At 47.2% G+C, this 20,961-nt stretch overlaps 1 protein-coding gene across 5 annotated transcripts in view, besides 2 other annotated features; it reads left to right on the forward strand.

Annotated features, from left to right (window-relative positions):
* Window positions 1–20,961, forward strand: part of SDK1 (sidekick cell adhesion molecule 1) — a 967,749-nt gene that overhangs the window by 771,062 nt on the left and 175,726 nt on the right. For all 5 annotated transcript variants that reach the window (NM_152744.4, XM_047420038.1, XM_047420037.1 and 2 more), the window contains 2 exons: window positions 4,685–4,876; window positions 7,150–7,271. In NM_152744.4, coding sequence (NP_689957.3) covers window positions 4,685–4,876; window positions 7,150–7,271 — 314 coding nt within the window. The remainder of the gene's footprint in view (window positions 1–4,684; window positions 4,877–7,149; window positions 7,272–20,961) is intronic.
* Window positions 6,804–7,020: a silencer, noted in NCBI's record as "fragment chr7:4118749-4118965 (GRCh37/hg19 assembly coordinates)". NCBI's record gives its function as "represses an EF-1alpha promoter that drives an FKBP-Casp9 reporter gene in an ReSE screen in K562 erythroleukemia cells {active_cell/tissue: K562}" and the evidence as "EXISTENCE:reporter gene assay evidence [ECO:0000049][PMID:32094911]".
* Window positions 17,033–17,577: an enhancer, noted in NCBI's record as "H3K27ac-H3K4me1 hESC enhancer chr7:4128978-4129522 (GRCh37/hg19 assembly coordinates)". NCBI's record gives its function as "activates a minimal SCP1, AML or CMV promoter by ChIP-STARR-seq in primed H9 embryonic stem cells {active_cell/tissue: H9 hESC(primed)}" and the evidence as "EXISTENCE:reporter gene assay evidence [ECO:0000049][PMID:30033119]".

Here is a 20,961-nt window from a genome sequence, read left to right on the forward strand (position 1 = left end):
GTTGTCCCCTTCTGTGTGTGGCCTGTGTGTTTTCCCTTCCTGCTCACTGTAATGTGCACCTTGTGTCACAGAAGCTGCAGTGGACGCCTGCAGCTCTTTGGAGGAGAAGGTCCTAGAGGAGATGAGATCGGATGTTATCACCTTACCAGCCCAGCATCACCCTGTGCCCCCAGTGATGCCCGCATCAGGGGAGCTCCCCCCAGCACCCACCATGTAGACATAGTTTTCCAGTGGAACATGCTGGCAGCACCATGAAATTCTATTCTGTGCTGAAGGCAGAGTGTCTCATTGAGAAGAGCAAAAGAAAAACTGTGTTCGTGGGCAAACCTGGCTGCCGGTTTCTGGAAGTGTTGGTGCGGCACCACCATGCTCTCGCAGGCTTCCTGCAAAGGCTGCACCTGCTATTAAAGGCAGCTGCAGGAGCCCAGGATGACTGACGGCTTGGGCCTGGGCTCAGCACCACTTTACGGGCCAGAGGCGCTGTTGGAAACGTAGGTTTATTAGCCCTGGTCTGTGGTGAGCACCCCCAGCTTCCATTTTAATTCGAGGCCTGGAATGAGAGGGAAGCACGGAGTAGGGGGCGGCTGCGCCTGCCCGAGTAAATTGCCCATTGCCCGCTCATTGTAAATTTCAGCGTCCTCCACTCTCCTTCAGTAAACTCTGATTTATGAGGGCCAGGATGCAGACAGACAGTTTGTGATTGGATGCACTGCTCTCTTCTAGAGAATTTACTTTAGATCAACAGAAAATTATTTCTGAAGCTCCTCTGGCCATTAGTCTCAGTTAGGCAGCCATTGGGAGCAGGTAGGATGCCAAGCGGGAGGTACCCCCGCTCCTGGCTCCGGGCGCCTCTCTCCTCTCTCCTCTGGGAGCTGGAAGCAGAGGATGCATCCCCTGGCCAGCACTGCCTGAGCCCTCCACGCACCTCCCCCAAAAGCTGTTGTTCATAAATTAGGGGACGTCTTTCCCACCTCACGCCCACCACTCTGTCTGTGCTCACAGGCATCACACGTCTTGGGCCTGCACCATTTCTGCTGGCGTTTCTCTGCAGATCAGCCTCTCTAGCTATCCGTTTGGTTTTTGTTTGTATCCACAACCATTTGAGCACACTATATTATCAATGTTGATCCTAATAAATTCTATCAACACTGCTCTTCCTGAAGATGCTGGAATTGCCGTGTTTCAGCTCTAGGTCGACATGACAAACATGACGCTGTGTTTCAGTAAATTCTGATGAAAAACAGCTTTTAAACAAATAAAATTTTCTGGCAGACAAGTTGTAATATTAAACAAAGTCTGCTCTTCCCATAGGTTCAGAGTAGACCCCGAGGATCAAATTATTTAGCGATTGACCAGGTGTGACCCACCAAGGTCAGGGATGTCTCAGTTCCCTTGCACACATCAGGAGGAGGTGCTGGAGGAGGAGGCGCTTTGAGAGCAGGGTCTCGTGCACCATGAGAAACAAACTCACCCGTCCAAACCCAAAGAATGGACTCAGAGACCCGGAGAACAGCGAAAGTGAGACTTTTAATGCCGGTCTTGCAAGATCGAGTGTGTGGTGGGCAGGCACACTCAGCACGGCCACAACAAGCGATTTATCCCCTAGTGCTCAGGCCCCTCTCCCAGTTCCTCATAGGCTGAGCACTATGGGGTGGGGCGGGGGAGGTCACAGTCTTCCCGGACATCGCCTATTGGTTGTTGGGCAGGGGGCCGTAGGTGTTTTTTTAGGGTTGTCCTGTTGCATTTTGTTGCAGCCCACAATGCACTGCAATCCTAGTCAGCTCAGGGGGTCTTCAGGTATTTGACTTACGACCTAAGTAGCTGGGCAGGCTGATAAGAACAGACGAAACGAGCTATTCTGCAGGATAGTAAACTTTCATCTTAGACTAAACTTCTTTGGTTGGGGTGGGGACAACTGAGGGATTGGGGGAGGCTGAGAAGCAGGCATTTGCGATTGAAGCAGGGGCTTAGTGTATCCTGTTTCTTCTGTAGTTTGCTGACCTAAGCTGATTCAAGGTACTTTGTCTTGGAAACGGACCATGTATCCATTATTTCCTTCATCCACTGAGGGCTGTCTTGGGTTCCAGCAAGTCCACGAAGCTTTCTGTGGCTTGGTTTCTTCCTTTGTGAAATAGGATAACAATGGCTCCAATTTCAAAGGTGTGTTGTGAGGGTTACATGAATGAATGGGGCAGGCTAGATGTCTTAGACGTCAGGGTGGGCAGATGAGGGAAATGCTAAGATGTAAAGCGAGGGCAGGGCCCAGGCTGGGCGTGGTGGCTGACGGCTGTAATCCTAGCATTTTGGGAGGCCACGGTGGGAGGATCGCTTGATACCAGGAGTTTGAGACCAGCCTGGGCAACACAGTGAGACCCTCATCTCTACAAAAAATTTTAAAAACTTGCCAGGCATGGTGGCACATGCCTATAGTACCAGCTACTTGAGAGACTGAGGTGGGAGAATCGCTTGGGTTGAGTGGTTCAAGGTTGCAGTGAGCCGTGATCACCCCACTGCACTCCAGCCTGGGCAACAGAGCAAGACTTTCTCTCTCTCTCTCTCTCTCTCTCTCTCTGTATATATATATATATATATATATATATATATTTTTTTTTTTTTTTAATAAAGTTAGGAAGGAAATGGGAGAAGGCAAAAATGAGTGGTTGGCCTGGGTAGTCGGCCTTCTCCCCTCTCCCTGGGAGGAGGAAAAGGAGACCAGGACCTGAGAAGCAGCCAGGCGCCTTTGATGAAGACACCACAGAGGATGGTTTAGTGACCCTCCTGGGCCCAGGCAGAGACCCCAAAGGCAGGCAGGCAGCACCACTTGGTGACAACTCACAGGATGGCAGGTGCTCCAAGTGCTCTGGAGGCACCCAGCAGCCAGGCCTCCCCTCTGGTGGCCCTTGTTCCTTGGAGCTCCCCACTGCGTCCGCCCACACGGGAGTCCCCTCAGCCCGCACACAGAAGCTGCCAGGCTGTACGGGGCCTGTGGCACGGCCAGGGGGAGCAGTTTACGACATTAAATTTTTTTCAAAATATAAAGTCTCAAGATGCTGTCCTCTAAATTCTTGTTTACCTGCAAGTGCAACTCCTAGCTTTATTTATTGCTTTCATCAGAATGAGGAGGAAGTTTCAGGTGCGTCCTAGCGCTTCTATATCCCTGAGGTTATTGACTAGAAATAGGGAAGAGCAAGCGTTTTCAGCTGTTTTCTTTTGCCTGTGGACCTATGAGCTCTTTCCACCACTGTCTCCCTCTTTAAAAGACACTTTTAAGTGCTCTCTGATCACATTAACTCCCCTCCACGCGGGTTGATTGATTCAGGAGCTAGTTGGGTCTTATTTCTCCTTTTTTTTTTTTTTTTAAGACAAAGTCTTGCTCTGTCACCCAGGCTGGAGTGCAATGGCGCAATCTTGGCTCACTGCAACCTCCGCCTCCCAGGTTCGAGTGATTCTCGTGCCTCAGCCTTCCGAGTAGCTAGGATTACAGGCGCCCACCACCATGCATGGCTAATTTTTATATTTTAGTAGAGACGGGGTTTCACATGTTGGCCAGGCTGGTCTCCAACTCCTGAGCTCAGGTGGTCCACCCGCCTTGGCCTCCCCAAGTGCTGGGATTACAGGTGTGAGCCACCGTGCCCCGCAGGTCTTTTTTCTCTAAGCCCCAAGTCACAGTGGAATCCCAGGTTGAATAAATTTTCGTCATGAGGCCCCACTGGCCTGAAGAGAGTATAGGGGGAAATCAAATTTATTAGAAAACAGGATATATGAAAAGGGGAGAGAGAGCTAGAAGCAAAACTCACACACTCAGGTGAAAATAAACTTTTCCAGTGCATTGCAAAATGTAAGAGTAATCTGTCAGTCATTTCTTGAAGGAAAAAGTAGAAGTGTTTCCATGAATTAGTTGCAACCGAAGAGCAAGCCATTGATTTAAGGTACAAAAAATATCGGCTTCCAAAAATGAAATGATTGGCCGGGTACAGTGGCTGTAATCCCAACACTAAGGGAGGCCGAGGCGGGAGGATCTCTTGAGCCTAGGAATTCCAGACCAGCCTGGGCAACAGGGGGAAACCCCATCTCTCCAAAAAAATACAAAAAATTAGCCAGGCATGGTGGTTCACGCCTGTGGTCCCAGCTACTCAGGACGCTGAGGTGGGAGGATGGATTGAGCCCAGGAGGTTGAGGCTGCAGTGAGCTATGATTGCACCATTGCACTTCAGCCTGGGCAACAGACTCAAAAATAAATAGATAGATACATACATACATATATACATACATAACATTTTTTAGTGGAATTATTGGTGAAATGCATTCATAATTTGACAAGAGAAGGTCGAATTGAGCACAGCAGGCTGGCAGCTGTCGTCATGTTTCAGTTCACGCACCTGGTGCTGAGGTTACCAGAGCATCCCAGAGGCCCTGTCCTTATGAAGCTCGCCCTGGTAGGGAGGGATGGTCCCCTGTGGTGGGACCGTCACTCCCATAAGCAGGTTTACGAGATCGCATTGGGCACACAGAGGAAGGAGCCTTGACCTGTGTCTCATGTCAGTAGCACAGTGGCTCTAAGCTGCCTTCAGCACATCCAGCCAAGCTCTCCATAGCTCCAAGCCTGCAACGATGGTGCTGTGGAATTCAGGTGAGCCCTTGGCCTTCAGGAGACCAACACTGGTCTGGTCCTGTTGCTTTCTAGGCTATCAGATCTCTTGGGAAGTGTACGGCAGGAACGACTCTCGTCTCACGCACACCCTGAACAGCACGACGCACGAGTACAAGATCCAAGGCCTCTCATCTCTCACCACCTACACCATCGACGTGGCCGCTGTGACTGCCGTGGGCACTGGCCTGGTGACTTCATCCACCATTTCTTCTGGAGTGCCCCCAGGTCAGTAGAATCGTGTGCGGTCCTCCTGCTGTCACCTTTCTCTTGGAGATTCCCGAGGCTAGAAGTTGATTGGCACTTTGGTGTGGAAGCCACTGAGTGCCTTGAAAAGGAGTAGTGGCCTCCTGCCAAGATGCTGGAGGGTAAATGGGTGTTGACCCCACTTCAGCCCCATTCTCCAGAGCATTCCACCACGGCCTCACGTCCCTTCTGTCTTCCCCTCCTGCTTTGGCCTCAGCCAGTTCCCAGAACATGCGTTGAAAGTGTTTAAAGCCAGTTCCCAATGCATATCTAAAATGCCATGAATACTTTCAAAACAGTAGCGATGATTGTATTAGTCCATTTTCATGCTGCTGATAAAGACATACCCGAGACTGGGCCATTTACAAAAGAAACAGGTTTAATGGACTTACAGTTCCGTATGGTTGGGGAGGCCTCACAATCATGGCGGAAGGCAAGGAGGAGCAAGTCATGTATTACATGGATGGCAGCAGGCAAAGAGAGAGCCCGTGCAAGGAAACTCCCGTTTTTAAAACCCATAGATCTTGTGAGACTTATTCACTATCATGAGAACAGCACAGGAAAGACCTGCCCCCATGATTCAGTTACCTCCCACCAGGTTCCTCTCATGACACATGGGAAATGTGGGAGTTACAATTCAAGATGAGATTTGAGTGGGGACACAGCCAAACCATATCAATGATGATGGTGTGTGGTTTAATTGGGTAAAAATTGGTATATATAGCGACCAAGGTTAACACTAGAAGCACATCTGGGTGCAAGTTACCAGAGTTTTCCTGAGATGTCTTGGACATTGTTTATCCAGGGCAGGGAAATGGGTTAGCTGACCTCCGGAAGGCTGTGCTTCCAGAAACACTCTGACGCACACTACGTCTGGAGCCACAGAGTGGAGTGTTAGAGGGGAAACTGAGGCCTGGCTGCTTTGGCCAAACCCCTGATAACCAAGGTGCAGGGAGGCACTGGAGTTGCTGTTCCGTCATTGCCAAGGCTGAACGCTTGTAGCTGGAGAGGGGTCTTAAAGCCTTACCCACTCATCCTGGGTAGTGGCTGGAGGCAAATCAAATGGCGAGGACTGCTTTGGGGACACCATGTTCTGTTTACCGTGCTTGAAGTTTATCGCCATTAATGATTGAAGAACCATTTAAAAATCCAGAGAGCTGAGAAATAGGAAAGAGTCCACTTGTCCTTCAATTTAAACATTTTCTATTTCAAATTCATTAAAAACTAGATGTGGAAAGGACCCTTGAGATCCTACAGACCCTGCCCATGCCGATACTGAATTGATCACCAAAATAGTTTCATTGTCCCTGTGCAAGACCTGGTTTCAAACACCCCAAGCAACAGCAAATGAGGAAAGCATTCCTCAGAGATAGTGAGGTCTGAAAGCTGCCCTAGCCTTGCATTTTTCTTTTCTTTTTCTTCCCCATTTTATCCCCTTATCTTTCTCTAGAGTATTTTGCATGGCACAGTAACACGAAAGCTCTCGTTTTGAACTCATAATGCTACAATTCCGGGTGGGAGATGCTCTTTGGGGAGCGGCATCTGAAGGGTCTCTCATCTAGGAGTAGGCTTGAGCCACGGGCACCCTCAACGGGAGGCTCATTCAGAACCCACCTTCCACCTTATCCAGTTGCCTGAGCAACTGAATAGAAGCAGAGAAAGGAGAGTTCTGCACTTGCACGAGAATTTGTTCGTCTTGGAAACGAAATCCAAGAAGCCTAAGGCTCAAGACCTGATCCTGACCGGGTGTCACGTCGCCTGGGAGCAGGCGATCCTGACCGGGTGTCACGCCGCCTGGGAGCAACCCTGGGCCTATGCACTCTTCCCTCCATCCCTCCGAGGCCGCGGTAATTATGAAAGGAAGTACGGCCCGCTCGTTCTCTGTGTGGTTTGAGGAGCCAGGAAGAATTACATTCATTCATCCTTTCCTCATTCAGCCAGCATCTGTTAATTACCTACGAAGTACAGAGATGCGTAAGACATGACGTGTGCCTGCAGAGTTTCTCATCAGGGAGGCCATGTTAGCGACGTGTCTCCCAAAGCCCACTGGGTCACCCCATTAAAGCAAAAACCATGCACTGATCATGCCCCTGGGGAAGCTGTGCTGCTTCTCACCTTCATGGTTTTGAGAGCAAATCCTTTTTTGGTATAGAATCGTTTTGAAACTGTTTACTTTTGAAGCTGACACGTTTGATACCTTTCCTAAGCTGTGACGGACTGTAAATCTCTCCCTTTCCTCCCTGGTTCCTCTCTAGACCTTCCTGGTGCCCCATCCAACCTGGTCATTTCCAACATCAGCCCTCGCTCCGCCACCCTTCAGTTCCGGCCAGGCTATGACGGGAAAACGTCCATCTCCAGGTGGATTGTTGAGGGGCAGGTACGTGTGTCGTTAGACTGGGAGCTGGCATTTGCGAAGAGCAGTGTTGGGGCCTGTGAATGAGTGGTACCCCTGCAGATGATGGCTTGGGGTGTCGGGGAGATGGGTGTGCTTGGAGAGGGAGAACCAGGGGCTGGAGATAGCCCAGATACCAGGGCAGAATGTAGGAAGACAAAGAACAAGATGTCAGGCCGGGGTCCTACCAGGTGATAAGACAAGGATAAGAAGGGTTAAAATGAAAGTTGTGATTCAAAATAGGTACCCAAAATTGGATAGTGTCGTTGATTGAGTTTTTAAAAATTCTATATCACAATTAGCTACTAAATATACTAATAGGATTAATTGCTTGGTACAGCTTGTGTGTCATTAGCTATGCATTCATTCAACAATATTTTTAGAGACGATTGTTCTATCAGCAGGCACTATTCTGAGCACGGGGGCTATTGCAGTAGACAAAGCTGGCTGAGTTTCTGCTGTCGAGGAGAAAAGTGCTGTCTGGGAAAGAAAGACCTCCAGCTGTGGGAAAGCTGTTATATTTGAGGGACAGCGAGGAGGGTGGGTGCTGGAGGGAGGGGAGCAAGCCCTGCGGTGGCAGGGAGTGAGTCTGGGGAGAGCTGGGGGCGGGTTCCACAGGACTTGAGAGAGTGGACTCCGCCGAGAGACTTCCGGTCCGACTCCAGCTGTGCAAGTGCTGGAGCACGCAGGGGTCCGGGACAGTGCCAGGCTTGAATAGGATCATGCTGGCATTGGTGAAGCCGTGCAATCTGCCACTTCCATGTTCCAATAAAAGCAGGAGGAAAAAGATAAAGGGCCAAATTATGAGGAGTAGTAAAGTTTCAAAATAGTTATTATCTGTAGTAAAATCCTTGTGGTTTTCATGACTGTACTTATGCTATACTGCAAGACGATCCACTCCTGGAAATTGGCCGTAAATTAGGGAACAAATCCTATCTACCTCTTCAAAAGTTTCATTAAGCAAACATTTCTGAAAGTCTAAGGAGGATCCTGAAGGCGCAAACCATCTGGATGGGACTGACCCACAAATGGGGCTGGAACAATTATTTACTTAGGAAAAATAGCAGTAGAGCCCTACCTCACATCATCACACACCAGGGACTGTTGTGGCGTTGAGGGGGTGGGGAGGGATAGCATTGGGAGATACACCTAATGCTAAAAGACGAGTTAATGGGTGCAGCACACCAACATGGCACATGTATACATATGTAACAAACCTGCACATTGTGCACACGTACCCTAAAACTTAAAGTATAATAATAATAAAATTACAATAAAAAAAGAAAAAAGAAAATCAGTCTTCAGCAAATGAAGACTAAATTGATGAAAGCAAACTTTAAAACGCTTAGGATTAAATATAGGACAAGAATCACAATGTCTCATGAAAACCAATTCTACTATTAAAATCCATCTGCAGAAGTAGCCAGGCAATACTTTTAGGCCCGCAGAAGCACGCGCTGTGGTCTTTGGTGTCTGACGATGCCGCATAGCTGAGGCCAGGAGGCAGCGCTCTCTGCAGGCTTTAGAATGTGGTGTTACGCTAGGGCTAGGCAGGCCACAGCGACAGAAACGCCAGCGTCTTCAGGGCTCAACATACAAAAGCTCATCTGTGCATCCAGGCAGGCCTAGGAGTGGATGACGCTCCTTTGGCCCATGTTCCGTTGCCCAGAACTTGGGCAACGTGGCCCTGTGTCACTGCAGGAGAGTCTGAGAGTGTTGCATTTCAGCTCATCTGGGAGGGAAAGACAAGGAGTGATGTGGGGACCCTCACCACAGTTTCTTGGCCATAGTATCCTAGCTTTATGTCATACAACCTGTTTCTTTAATTTTTTTTTTTTTGAGACAGAATCTTGCTCTGTCGCCAAGCTGGAGTGCAGTGGCGCCTTCTCAGCTCACTGCAAGCTCTTCCTCCCAGGTTCAAGTGATTCCCCCTGCCTCAGCCTCCCGAGTAGCTGGGGCTACAGGCACCCGCCACCCACCCAGCCAATTTTTTGTATTTTAGTAGAGACGGGGTTTCACCATGTTAGCCAGGATGGTCTGGATCTCCTGACCTCGTGATCCGCCTGCCTCGGCCTCCCAAATCGCTGGGATTACAGGCATGAGCCACCGCACCTGACCTGTAAAGAGGTTTTACATTTTTAATGTAAAACATCTTAAATATATGCAAAAGGAAGAATAGAGTAAGCCCTCTTATACCCATCAGCAAAAGTCAATGATCCTCAAGATTTTGCTGCATCCATCCATCCCTGGTTTTTTATTGGCGTATTTTGAAGCATATTTCAGACCACATGTCACTTTTCCCCCATACACATCACACATGTGTCTAAAATGCCTGTTCACATGCCAATATGGATGAATTTCACAGGCATAATGTTTAACAAAAGGAAAACCAGACCCCTGCTTGGAGCATATACTGTGTGATTCCATTTATAGAATGTTCCAAAACAGGAAGAAGTAATCTTTGGTGTTGGAATAACAGGTTTTCCTGGGACCCTTGTGGTTACTTACCGTGGGGGTGACAGTGACTGGGAGGGGGCCACCTGAGGAGGGGGCGTCTGGAATGGCAGGAGTGCTGTCTTTTGATCTGGGTGCTTATTTTGTGTATACACCAGTCGTCTGTGAGCTTGCCTGTATGTCTTACTTCAGTGAAAACTTTGGCCAGGCGTGATGGCTCACACCTGTAATCCACACTTTAGGAGACCAAGGCAGGCGGATCACTTGAGGTTGGGAGTTCGAGGCCAGCCTGGCCAACATGTGAAACCCCATCTCTACTAAAAATACAAAAATTAGCCAGGCATGGTGGCGCACGTCTGTAATCCCAGCTATTCAGGAAGCTGAAGCAGGAGAATCGCTTGAACCTGGGAGGCGGAGTTTGCAGTGAGCTGAGATCATGCCACTGTACTTCAGCCTGGGCAACAGAGTGAGATTCTGTCTCAAAAAAAAAAAAAAAAGAAAAGAAAAGAAATTTTTACATGAAAATATGGATGTCTTTTCTCATGATACCATTGTCACACCTGATAAAATTATTATTATTTTTTTGAGATAGAATCTCACTCTGTCACCCAGACAGGAGTGAAGTGGTATGATCTCGGCTCACTACAACCTCTGCCTCCTGGGCTCAAGCAATCCTCTCATCTCAGCCTCCTGAGTAGCTAGGACCACAGGCGTGTGCCACCACACCAGCTAACTTTTTATATTTTTGGTAGAGACAGGGTTTTGCTGTGTTGCCCAGGCTGGTCTCGAACTCCTGAGTTCAAGCGATCTGTCAGCCTCGGCCTCCCAAAGTGCTGTGATTATAGGCATGAGCCACCGCACCTGGCAATTTGAACATTTTAATATCATCTAATAGTCAGTTCACACTCAGATTCCCCCAAATTTTCCAAAACATCTCTTTACGGTGGTTTTGATAAAAGTAGGATTCACGCAGGGTTCACACTATTCATTTTGTTGTCATGTCTCTCAAATTGTTAAAAAAAAATGTTAACAGCTTTATTGAGTTGCAATTGACATACAGGTTTAAACTGCATATATTTAAGATGGACAGTTTGACAGCTTTTGACTTAGCTACACATATACACACACCTGGGAAGCTGTGACCACAGATGAGATAATGAACAGGTTCCTCACCCTCAAAGGTGTCCTTGCAGCCCCCACTATCCCTCCCTACCAACCCTCCCCGTCCCCACAACCACTCATCTGCTTCCTGTCACTATAGGTTACAGCTCTGTTAATCTAGTGGAATCCCCCACTCTTTTCCCCCATGCAGTTGCCTCGTTGAGAAAACCCAGCCAGTCATCCCATGGGACATCTGCATTGGAGATGCACCTGGTTACATCCTTGTGGGGTCACTTGACCTGTTCCTCTACCCCGTTTGCCCTGTAAACTGGAAGTTCATTGCAAAGAACTGGTAGATTCCATTTCCACTCCTCCCTCCCTCCCTCCCTCCCTCCCTCCCTCCCTTCCTTCCTTTTTGCCTCCCTCCTCCCTTCTTTCCTTCTTCTCTCCCTCCCTTCTCTTGTCCCTCCCTCCCTCCTTTCCTTCCTTCCTTCCTCCACCCCTCCCTTCTTTCCTCCCTCTCTCCCTTCACTTCTTCCCTCCCTCCTTTACTTCCTCCCTCCCTTCTTTACTTCCTCCATCCCTCCCTTCCTTTACTTCCTGTCTCCCTCCCTCCCTTCTTTCCTCCCTCCTTTCCTCTCTCCCTCCCTTCCTTCCTTTCTTCCTCTCTCCCTTCCTCTCTCTCTCTGTCTGTCTCCCTCCCTCCCTAAGACTGCTTCCCTGTTACTACAGCAGGGTGGGGGCACGTAGGTCTAGTCGCCCCACTCAGGGATGCTAAGTTGGGTGGCAGAGCGTAGCAGCCTGATGCCTACCTTGTGAATTTCTCCATCAGCTTTTTATCTAATGGTCTCATCCATCCATGATCTTTGCCTGAATTAATTATGTTCTTAGGATATTCAAGATGATAATTTTATATTTCTATCAGTCTTTCCTCATTTAGCTGTTGGAACTCTAAAAAGAAGCATCTCTGCTCATCCCTCAGACTATTTAGTTACTCTCAAATGCAGGAAGGCAGAATAAATGCTTAATTCTTTTCCCTTAATTACCAGTTTCCAGGGTGAGGAATTGGTCCCCTGGTTACTTCCAATGTTAAATAGATTTTTCTTTCTTTTTCTGTCTTGTGATCTCTTTTGCTGAGTATCATCATGAAAGCATAGGTTCTTACCTGTTCAGTGGGTTTCAGTCACCTGCAGTCATTATTCTTTTTGAACCTAGAATTGGCCTGTCTTTGGCCTAGGGAGGCTTTCGTATCCTGGGGCTCCGGCATGAGGCTCCACTCTTTGATGACTTCCTGCCTCAAGCTGAGATGGAGCCATGCCTGCAGGGCCTTGGTTTCATGAGTGTCAAATGCTGTTTAAAGACGATAACCTGAGCACCAAGGTGGATCTCCTCGCTCCCAGCTGGTCCCTGCTTCGACACCTTCCCAGTAGACAGAACATATTTTCTGAAGCATCATGAGTTCATACTGACGTTTCCAATGAAATTTCAGGTTACTGACCTTAAATGTATATGTTATGTTACGTTATGTTATGTTATGTTATGTTATGTTATGTTATGTTATGTTATGTTATGTTATGTTGTTACTTAAATGTATATTTTATTTTATTTTATTTTATTTATTTATTTATTTGAGATGGAGTTTCGCTCTTGTCACCCAGGCTGGAGTGCAATGGCACGATCTCACTGCAACCTCCGCCTCCTGGGTTCAAGTGATTCTCCTGCCTCAGCCTCCTGAGTAGCTGGGATTACAGGCGCCCGCCACCACGCCCAGCTAATTTTTATATTTTTAGTAGAGATGGGGTTTCACCATGTTGGACCAGGCTGGTGTCGAACACCTTACCTCAAGTGATCCACCTGCCTTGGCCTCCCAAAGTGCTGGGATTACAGGTGTGAGCCCACTGCGCCCAGCCTAAATGTATATTTTAAATATATTTTCCCTTACTCTAAGACTGTGCTTTTTAGGACTCCTAACTCGATTATCTTCTTTATCCTCCTATTGTATTAAGAGGTTCAACCTGTGGTCTGTGAATTTGCCTGTGTATCTTACTTATATGAAAACTTTATGTTAAAACACAAATACTATTAGGAGTTTCAAAATTATAATCTCAGTGGTATGACTAACAGAGACTACTGAATGAAATTTAAGTATTTGTCCTTAAAATGTGTTATACCATGGAAGTGTAATATATTCAGTTTATACCTACAGTTTATATTCAGTTTATAATATATTTAGTTTATACTTACAGTATACAAGTACAGTTGCAGTACTGTTCTAAAGCCACTGTTCTTTTCTCATTGTGGTTATCTCGATACAGATTTAAGTGCGTTCATTTCAGGACTTGTTTTGTTTTTTTGCTTCAATTTTTAGCACTGACTTTCTTTAAAAATCATTTTACATTTTTTTTATTTATTTATTTTGAGATGGAGTCTCACTCTGTCACCGAGGCTGGAGTGCAGTGGCGTGATCTCAGATCACTGCAACCTCCACCTCCCGGGTTCAAGCTATTCTCCTGCCTCAGCCTCCTGAGTAGCTGGGATTACAGGTGCTCGCCACCACGCCTGGCTAATTTTTGTATTTTTAGTAGAGATGGGGTTTCACCATGTTGGCCAGGCTGGTCTTGAACTCCTAACCTCAAGTGATCCGCCCGCCTCAGCCTCCCAGAGTGCTGGGATTACAGGTGTGAGCCACTGCACCTAGCTCATTTTACATTTTAAAAAATTGGTGGAGGATTTTAAACTAATTCTTGAGGATATAACTCATTTACACGATCTCAAAGTCAAAACTATTTAAAAAGTGACATTCACAGAAGTTTCTGTTCATTTGTCTCCTTACCCTGTTGCCTGTCTGCCACATAGATAACCATATTTATTAGACTTTTGGTTTTTCCTTTTTCTTTTTCTTTCTGGCAACATAAACAGCTCTGCGTATATGTGTACTTCCTCTTTCTTCCACGGAAGGTGGCATATTGCGCCTTGCTGTCTTCCGGTGACAGCACATCCTGAATACCCCTGGGCATCATGTGTGCACTTGTCCTTTCTTCTCACACCTGCACAGGTCTGCCCGGTGTGCATGAGCTGGGGTTTGTTTATGTAGCTAGTCCTCTGCTGACACGCATTGGGATGTGTATTAGTATTATATCACTGCCATAACAAATCACCAAAAACTGAGTGGCTGATACAACATACATGTGTCATCTTCTAGTTCTGCAGGTCAGAAGTCCAGCATGGGTCTCACCAGAGCCATGTTTCTTCCGGAAGCTCTGGGGATGAGTCAGCTTCCAGGGTCATTCGGGTTGCGGCAGAATTCAGTCCTTGCAGTTGTAGGACTGAGGTCCCCATACTGTGCTGTCAGCCATGGTCATTCCCAGCTCCTGGAGGTCACCACGGTCTGTGGCTCGGGATCCCCTTCCTTCATCTTCAGAGCAGCCGGGGCAGGTCAAGTCCTCTCAGACTCTGGCTCTTTCCTCCTCCTTCCTTCTCATCTCTCTGGCCCACTCTTCAGCCTCCCACTTCCACTTTTAAGGACTCCTGATTACCTTGTATTCACCTGGATAACCTCCCTGATGTAAGGTTCTTACCCTTAATCACATCTGCAGAGCCTCTCCTGCCACATAAGGCAGCGTACTCATGGGTTCCAGGAATTAGGGTATGGGCATCTCCAGGGGGCCTCATTCAGCCTCAAGCTAGTTTTCAGCCTTTTGCATAGTCATTTTGTATTTTTGCCACTGTATCTTTGGGGGAGATTCCCAGGCATGGGTTGGCTGGATCACAAGGCAAATGCACATGTAAACTTCCCAGACATTGCCAAATCCCTCTTCTGCAGATGGTAACATGTTGCATTCCCAGCAGCAACATGTATATATTTTTTGCCATGCAAAAAAAAAAAAAAAATTGAAGTCTAATTTATGACTCCTTTCTTGCATGCCTCTGGTTTTTGAATCATAGGCAGAAAGGTTTTCCCCACTTTCAGGTTCTAAAGGAACCCAACCAATTTTCTGGTTTCATTTTTACATTTAGAACTCCATCCATTTGGAACTGGTTCTTGTATATGGAGTGAGGTATGAATCCATTTTCATCATTTTGCAAATAGCTACGTAATTGCCTCAGTGCCATTTATTAAAATGACCATTTTTTTTCCTGATTTGTAACATTAAATTCTCATACGCACTTTGGTCTATTTCTGAACTTTTCATTCTGTTCTATTAGCCTGGTTATTCATGCACTAATTCCACATTGTTTACTTAGAGAGGCTTTAAACTATGCTTTAATATCTGGTGAGGCCTGCTTCCCCATAACCAATGTGTGTGCACAGACACACACGCGCGCACACACACACACACACACGCATTGCTTGACTTTCTTAGGATTTTCCCGGCCACTCTTGTGGACATCTGATGGTGTTGAATCTTTCTGTTCAGGATCATGCTACCTCTTTTCACTTGTTTAAATCTACTTTTCTCAGCTGTTTTCTCTTGGAGAAGCACTGGGCTCTCTAATCCTGCCTTCACCTGCTCTCAAAAAGGCAGGAAAATGAGGGGCGATCAATATACCTCAAAAGCTGTAATGTGAAGAATACGGGCTTTGAGTCAGACAGACCTGGTTCCCCCCTTTTTTAGCACCCCTGTTTCCCAGCTCTGTAGACGTGCTTCTTAACTTCTTTGTGAGCCTGAATTTCCATCTGGAGAATGGGGTCAGTAGTACCATCTGCAAGGTTGTCATGAGGATTAACTCACGTATGGCTATTTTAAATGATATTTTCTGCCTGTGTTGTTTGCATAGGGGAACACAATTGATTTTTAAATATTTTTGTTTCTTTAATAAATTCTTCTGTGTTCTAAGTGCTTTCACAACTATGAACACGTTTAATTCTCATAATGGCTCTCTGGTGGCTGTTATAACCCCGTGTCACAGATGAGACATCAAGGTGTTGGATTACCTGCCGAGGTCACACAGCCAAGCCATGAAGCCGGATTGGAGCCTGCAAACCTCGGAAGTCTGTGGCTGCTCAGCCTGGTGTATTGGTGTTACAGCCAGAAACTTTGGGAATTCTCTTGTTAGTTGGTTAGTTTTACTGTAATTTTCTATAAAGAATTCATATCATCTGTTAATGGCGACAGTTTTTGTTTCTTCCTTTGAATTTTTTATATTCTTTCTTTCTCTTTTTTGTTTCTTCTTCTTTGAGTATTTTGTAATCTTACTGGGAGGGCTAAAGCGTCTTCTATCATATCGAATTGGGACAATGATAGAAGACAATCTTTGTTTTGTCACTCTAAAGAAATTATTGTAAGATTTTATCATCAGGTATGACATTTACACCATTGATGTAGGCTTTTTAAAAAATATATCCAGCCTGTATTGGGTTAAGATGATTCTTTTCTGATCCTGATTTCCTAGGAGTTGGTTTTTTTTTTTTAAAGCATAAATAAATTTAATTGCATCAGACTATTTTCTCATCTATTGAGCTGCTCATTTGGTTTTTCTGATTTCATCTGTTGGTAAGGTGGTTCACACTGCCCTTCTGTTTCACTATTCCGGAGCTCCTGAGACAGAAGCAATTTGGTCTTGATGTTTGTTTTGTTTGGGGTTGAGATTGTTGTATCCATGTTCATAAGTGAACTTGGCCTTTTCTGGTTGTAGATTTGGCCTGGGTTTTAAGATCGATAGTGTATTTTCTCACCAGTTTTCATAAACACAGTTTGGATTGAGCTTGTGTTCCTTAGCCCTCAGGCAGAGGACTCTCGTGGGCATCTGCACAATGAGGTCACTCAGGCGGAGGTGAGACCCTTGTGGGCATCTGCACAATGAGGCCCCTCAGAGGGAGGTGAGACCCTCCCTCAGGTGGAGGTGAGACCCTTGTGGGCATCTGCACAATGAGGCCCCTCAGATGGAGGTGAGACTCTCCCTCAGGTGGAGGTGAGACCCTCCCTCAGGCGGAGGTAAGACCCTCTCTCAGGCGGAGGTGAGACCCTCCCTCAGGCGGAGGTGAGACCCTCCTTCAGGTGGAGGTGCGACCCTCGTGGGCATCTGCAGGATGAGGTCTCTCAGGTGGAGGTGAGACCCTCCCTCAAGTGGAGGTGAGACCCTCATGGGCATCTGCACAGGGTGCTCAGTGCCTCCCAATCCTGCCACACGTTGTGGGTGTGGAGGCGCCCAGACCCCGACTCAGTTCATCAGAACCCCTGGGGCAGAGGCTGCAGCACTCTTCCATTTGTGAGGCTTGGAAATGACAGATCTGCATCTCCGCTGAGGGTCCCGCCTCAGGGGGCCTCTGTGCTGGGCCTTGGAGGCAAGATGTGCTCAGGCAGCCTGTCCCGGGCTGCTATTCTCCAGCAGTTCAGAGGTTTTAGTGCTCCAGGGAAGAATGAACGGGGCAAGCTTCCTGCCTTCCCCATCGTGGGCTTGCCCCTTCCCCAGGCCTGTGTTGGTTGCACACCTCCCTGGGCTGTCTCTGAGTGTCCAGGGCAGGGAAGCTCCGTCACGTGGAGCCCACGTGTGGGTGACTCCCTGGGGCTGCCTGACTCCTGGGCCAGCTCACAGCCTGCAGCCAGTGGTTAAACATTTCATGTGGAATTTCCAATTCCCTTGAAGGGTAATCTTTCCCTTTGATTTCAAAAGTGTTTTAGAAACTATAGACAAGCCTTAAGAATCCTACAGAGAATTCCCCTCCACCCAAAGGCCTCATCCATGATTTGCCCAGTTTTCCCCAAAAGCCCTCGGTAACAAAAGGCTCCACTCCAGGACATGGGCTGCACCCAGTGGTCTCCTGTGATCTCAGTTATTTCTTGACTTCTGTGACCTTGACAATTTTGAAGACTACAGGCCGGTTATTTCCCTGATTCCCCTCAATTTGGATTTATCCCAGTGTCTTTAGGAGTCGTCCTAGGTGACGCATTTTTGGCCAGAATGTGGGGGAAGTGATGCTGGGCACCTCCTGCTACACCTTGTTGGGTTTGACTTGGCCTTGGCATGTCCCGTTGTTAGTCCAGTTATTTTGCTAACTTGACTGAGATTTCTCCCCTCTAAAATGACCGCCACTTCTGCACCACCCACTTTACAATTAATCAGTATTTTGTGAGAAGATACTTTGAGATTCTTTAAAAACCTCATTTCTCTTTCCAGTCTCATCCACCAGTTTGTCATCCATTAATATTTCTTGCTGGAATTAATTAGGGCAATGAGGGCACCAGTGATTTTTTAAAAATTCAATCATTTCTTCTACATTTATCCATTGGCCTATTCCTGAAAGCAAAAGCTTTCTCCTCATTTATTTTTCCATTAATTATCATCAGTGTGGACTCATGACTTTTTATTTTGGGTAACAGATTTTAACCCATTGCTATCATTGCTAATTTTGATGCTCAAACTTCCCTCCATTTGGCGATTTGGGGGTGGCGGGGAGCCCATCCAGCTGGCTTCTGTATTCTTTTGATGTCTCCATCATTCTTTGAGCACTTCCTTATCTTCTGGCACAAGATGTTCCCAACTCATCTTGTTCTTTCTCTCTTCTTTCCCAGCCATTTCTCCAGGGAACCTTGGGTTAGTGCAGTGGAGAGTGGGATTTAGAAACCAAGATCCAGGCAGTAGTGTGCTCATTGCTACTGGGGCATCACTGCTCCCAGCTAGGAAATGTACATATATCTATAGCTAGGTCAGTTTCTATATCTAGCCACACATACTGAAAAGCATTATTTCACACTATCACCTCCAAATACAATGCAAAACCCTCAGTTTATGTGAGCTTCCCTTTTCTACATCTATCCGAGCCCTTCTCTGGCTCCCAGTATGCTCAGTATATTTATTTTTTTGCTGAATTCCACTCTATGTGGCCAGTCTTATGATCAAAGTGGGCTGCTGCCCTGCTTGGACACCATTCTGCTTGGATGCCTTCTTTGCCCAGATCCTGACCCCTGACTGGACTCTTTCACTGCTGCCCTTAAAATTTTTGCATATAAACTGAAGTTATCAAAGTCTAACATGACTGCACTATCTTCTTTCCAGGACTTAAGTACAGGACTTAAAAATTCCTGAAGTCCAGTCAAGTCATACTTGTTATATGTCCAGCACATCAACTCTGCCTCACTTTTCTATATCTACAAAGGCAATGATCCTTACTGGGGCATTCTGTCTCACAGTGAGTGCTGGCTTAGATTTCTCCACATTTGCCATTTTCTTTTCTTTTCTTTTTTTTTTTTTTTTTTTTTTGTTTGAGACAGAGTCTCACTCTGTCACCCAGGCTGGAGTGCAGCATCAGGATCTGGGCTCACTGCAACCTCCACCTCCCAGGTTCAAATGATTCTCATGCCTCAGCTTCCTGAGTAACTGGGATGATAGGCACGTACCACCACACCTGGCTAATTTTTGTATTTTTGGTAGAGATGGGGTTTTACCATGTTGGCCAGGCTGGTCTCAAACTCCTGACCTCAGGTGATCCACCCACCTCAGCCTCCAAAGTGCTAGGATTACAGGCGTGAGCCACTGCACCCTGCCAACAGCAAGGTATGCTTTTAACAATGATGAATGAGCAGGCATCTCTTTAAACACCTTCTGAGGGTGTTTCACTGGCAGGCCAGTGTAGATAAGAGCTGCTGTTCAGCCTTCTACAGACTCAAGCAGAATATACTCCAACCCTCTACATCACCAGCCAACACCTTTACAGCTCCGTCCAGGGAAAGAACAGTTCTGCAGCCCCCTCTTCTCATTCTTAATGCCGGAATTCTGGCCACACGTTCTTCTGGGGAACTCCACACTGCTTCTCTCCACGTGCCACCTTCCTGGCCTTCATCACATTCCATGGATCATCTCTGACTCATCCCCCAGGAAAGACATCGTGACAAGCAGCGAGCAGAACAAAACCGTCGGGCGTGTAGACACAAGCAGCACAGGCTTTGGGATCACAGCGACAGGGCCCGGAATCCCAGCTCCATCACTTTCTAGCTGTGAGGCTTTAGGGAAGTCTTTTAGGTCATGTTCTTTAGCCATAAAGCCCTAATAACAGTGCCTGTCTCACGGGTGATTGAGAGAACTAGAACATGGTGTTACATTGACTTCTGCTTTCTGTCAAGCTTGAGCAACTTTACGAATGCATCTCCTCTGAGAAACCTGCCAGCCCCTGAGGCTGTCTGTGGCTCTGTCCCAGCCTCCCTCTGTGCTCGCCTACCCCCTGTCCCGTGGTCCTCCCAGGACGCCTGGTTCTCATTCCCCAGCCACTTCTCTGAGAATGTCCCATGGGCTCCCTGGTCCAGGCAGGCTCCAGAGGCACCCATGAAGCCCAGCTGTCCTAAACTCCAGGCAGCGGGGCCCTTGAGGCTGTGACTAGTATAGATGAGGCCTCTGGGGCCTCCTATACCTCACCCCCTTTGAATGGGATGCAAGACAAACCCAGGCCTTCTCTGCTGTAGGGAGACTCCAGGGCTGCCTCTCACAGCCTCTCACCCGGGAAGCGGTTGTTGACTCCTAGTCTGTGCCTGGCCCTGGGCTAGAATTTGGGGAGGAGAAAGACTCCGGAGCACATGGTCTAGATACAAAGTCATTAATCACATAGAAGCCAGGGAGGTGATGTCAGAGAGGTCTGCTGGGGCGCCGGGAGGACACTGAGGAAGGAACAATAGAACCCATCAGTTGGGTGTGGAGGGCCCAGGAAGGTCCTAACAGCCAAGCCCCGTCTCGAGGCTCTGTGAACGTGAGCCCAGGCGGAGAGCAGCAGAGCAGGGCAGGGACGAAAGCTCCCACCACAACACTCTCTGCCAGAAGAGTGTTCACGTTTCTTCCCTTTCATCTACTTTTCAATTGTATCTTCTTTGCAGAAAAGTTTCCTTTAGATGCTAACCATTTTTAAAAGTGCACCAAGAAGGTTTTATTACTTAGAGTTACCTTCAGTGAATTATGGAATGAAGGATCCTAATCATTGGAGGAACCCATTGAAAGGCCCTATAATAAGTTGATGCTCAGATGTGGGTTGCCAAAAAAAAAAGCAGCAGCTTTTATAGGTATTTCTGGCTCAGTAATGCTTTGCTTAATTAGTAACCTTTGACTGTAGAGTGAGCAAAACATCTCTTTGAGCATTTTTATGGTGCACCATAAAAGGGAGAATGCAAATGTTATATGTTTTCATTTGCCACTC

This window comes from Homo sapiens, chromosome 7, assembly GCF_000001405.40.
Source record: "Homo sapiens chromosome 7, GRCh38.p14 Primary Assembly".
NCBI classification, from domain to species: domain Eukaryota; kingdom Metazoa; phylum Chordata; class Mammalia; order Primates; family Hominidae; genus Homo; species Homo sapiens.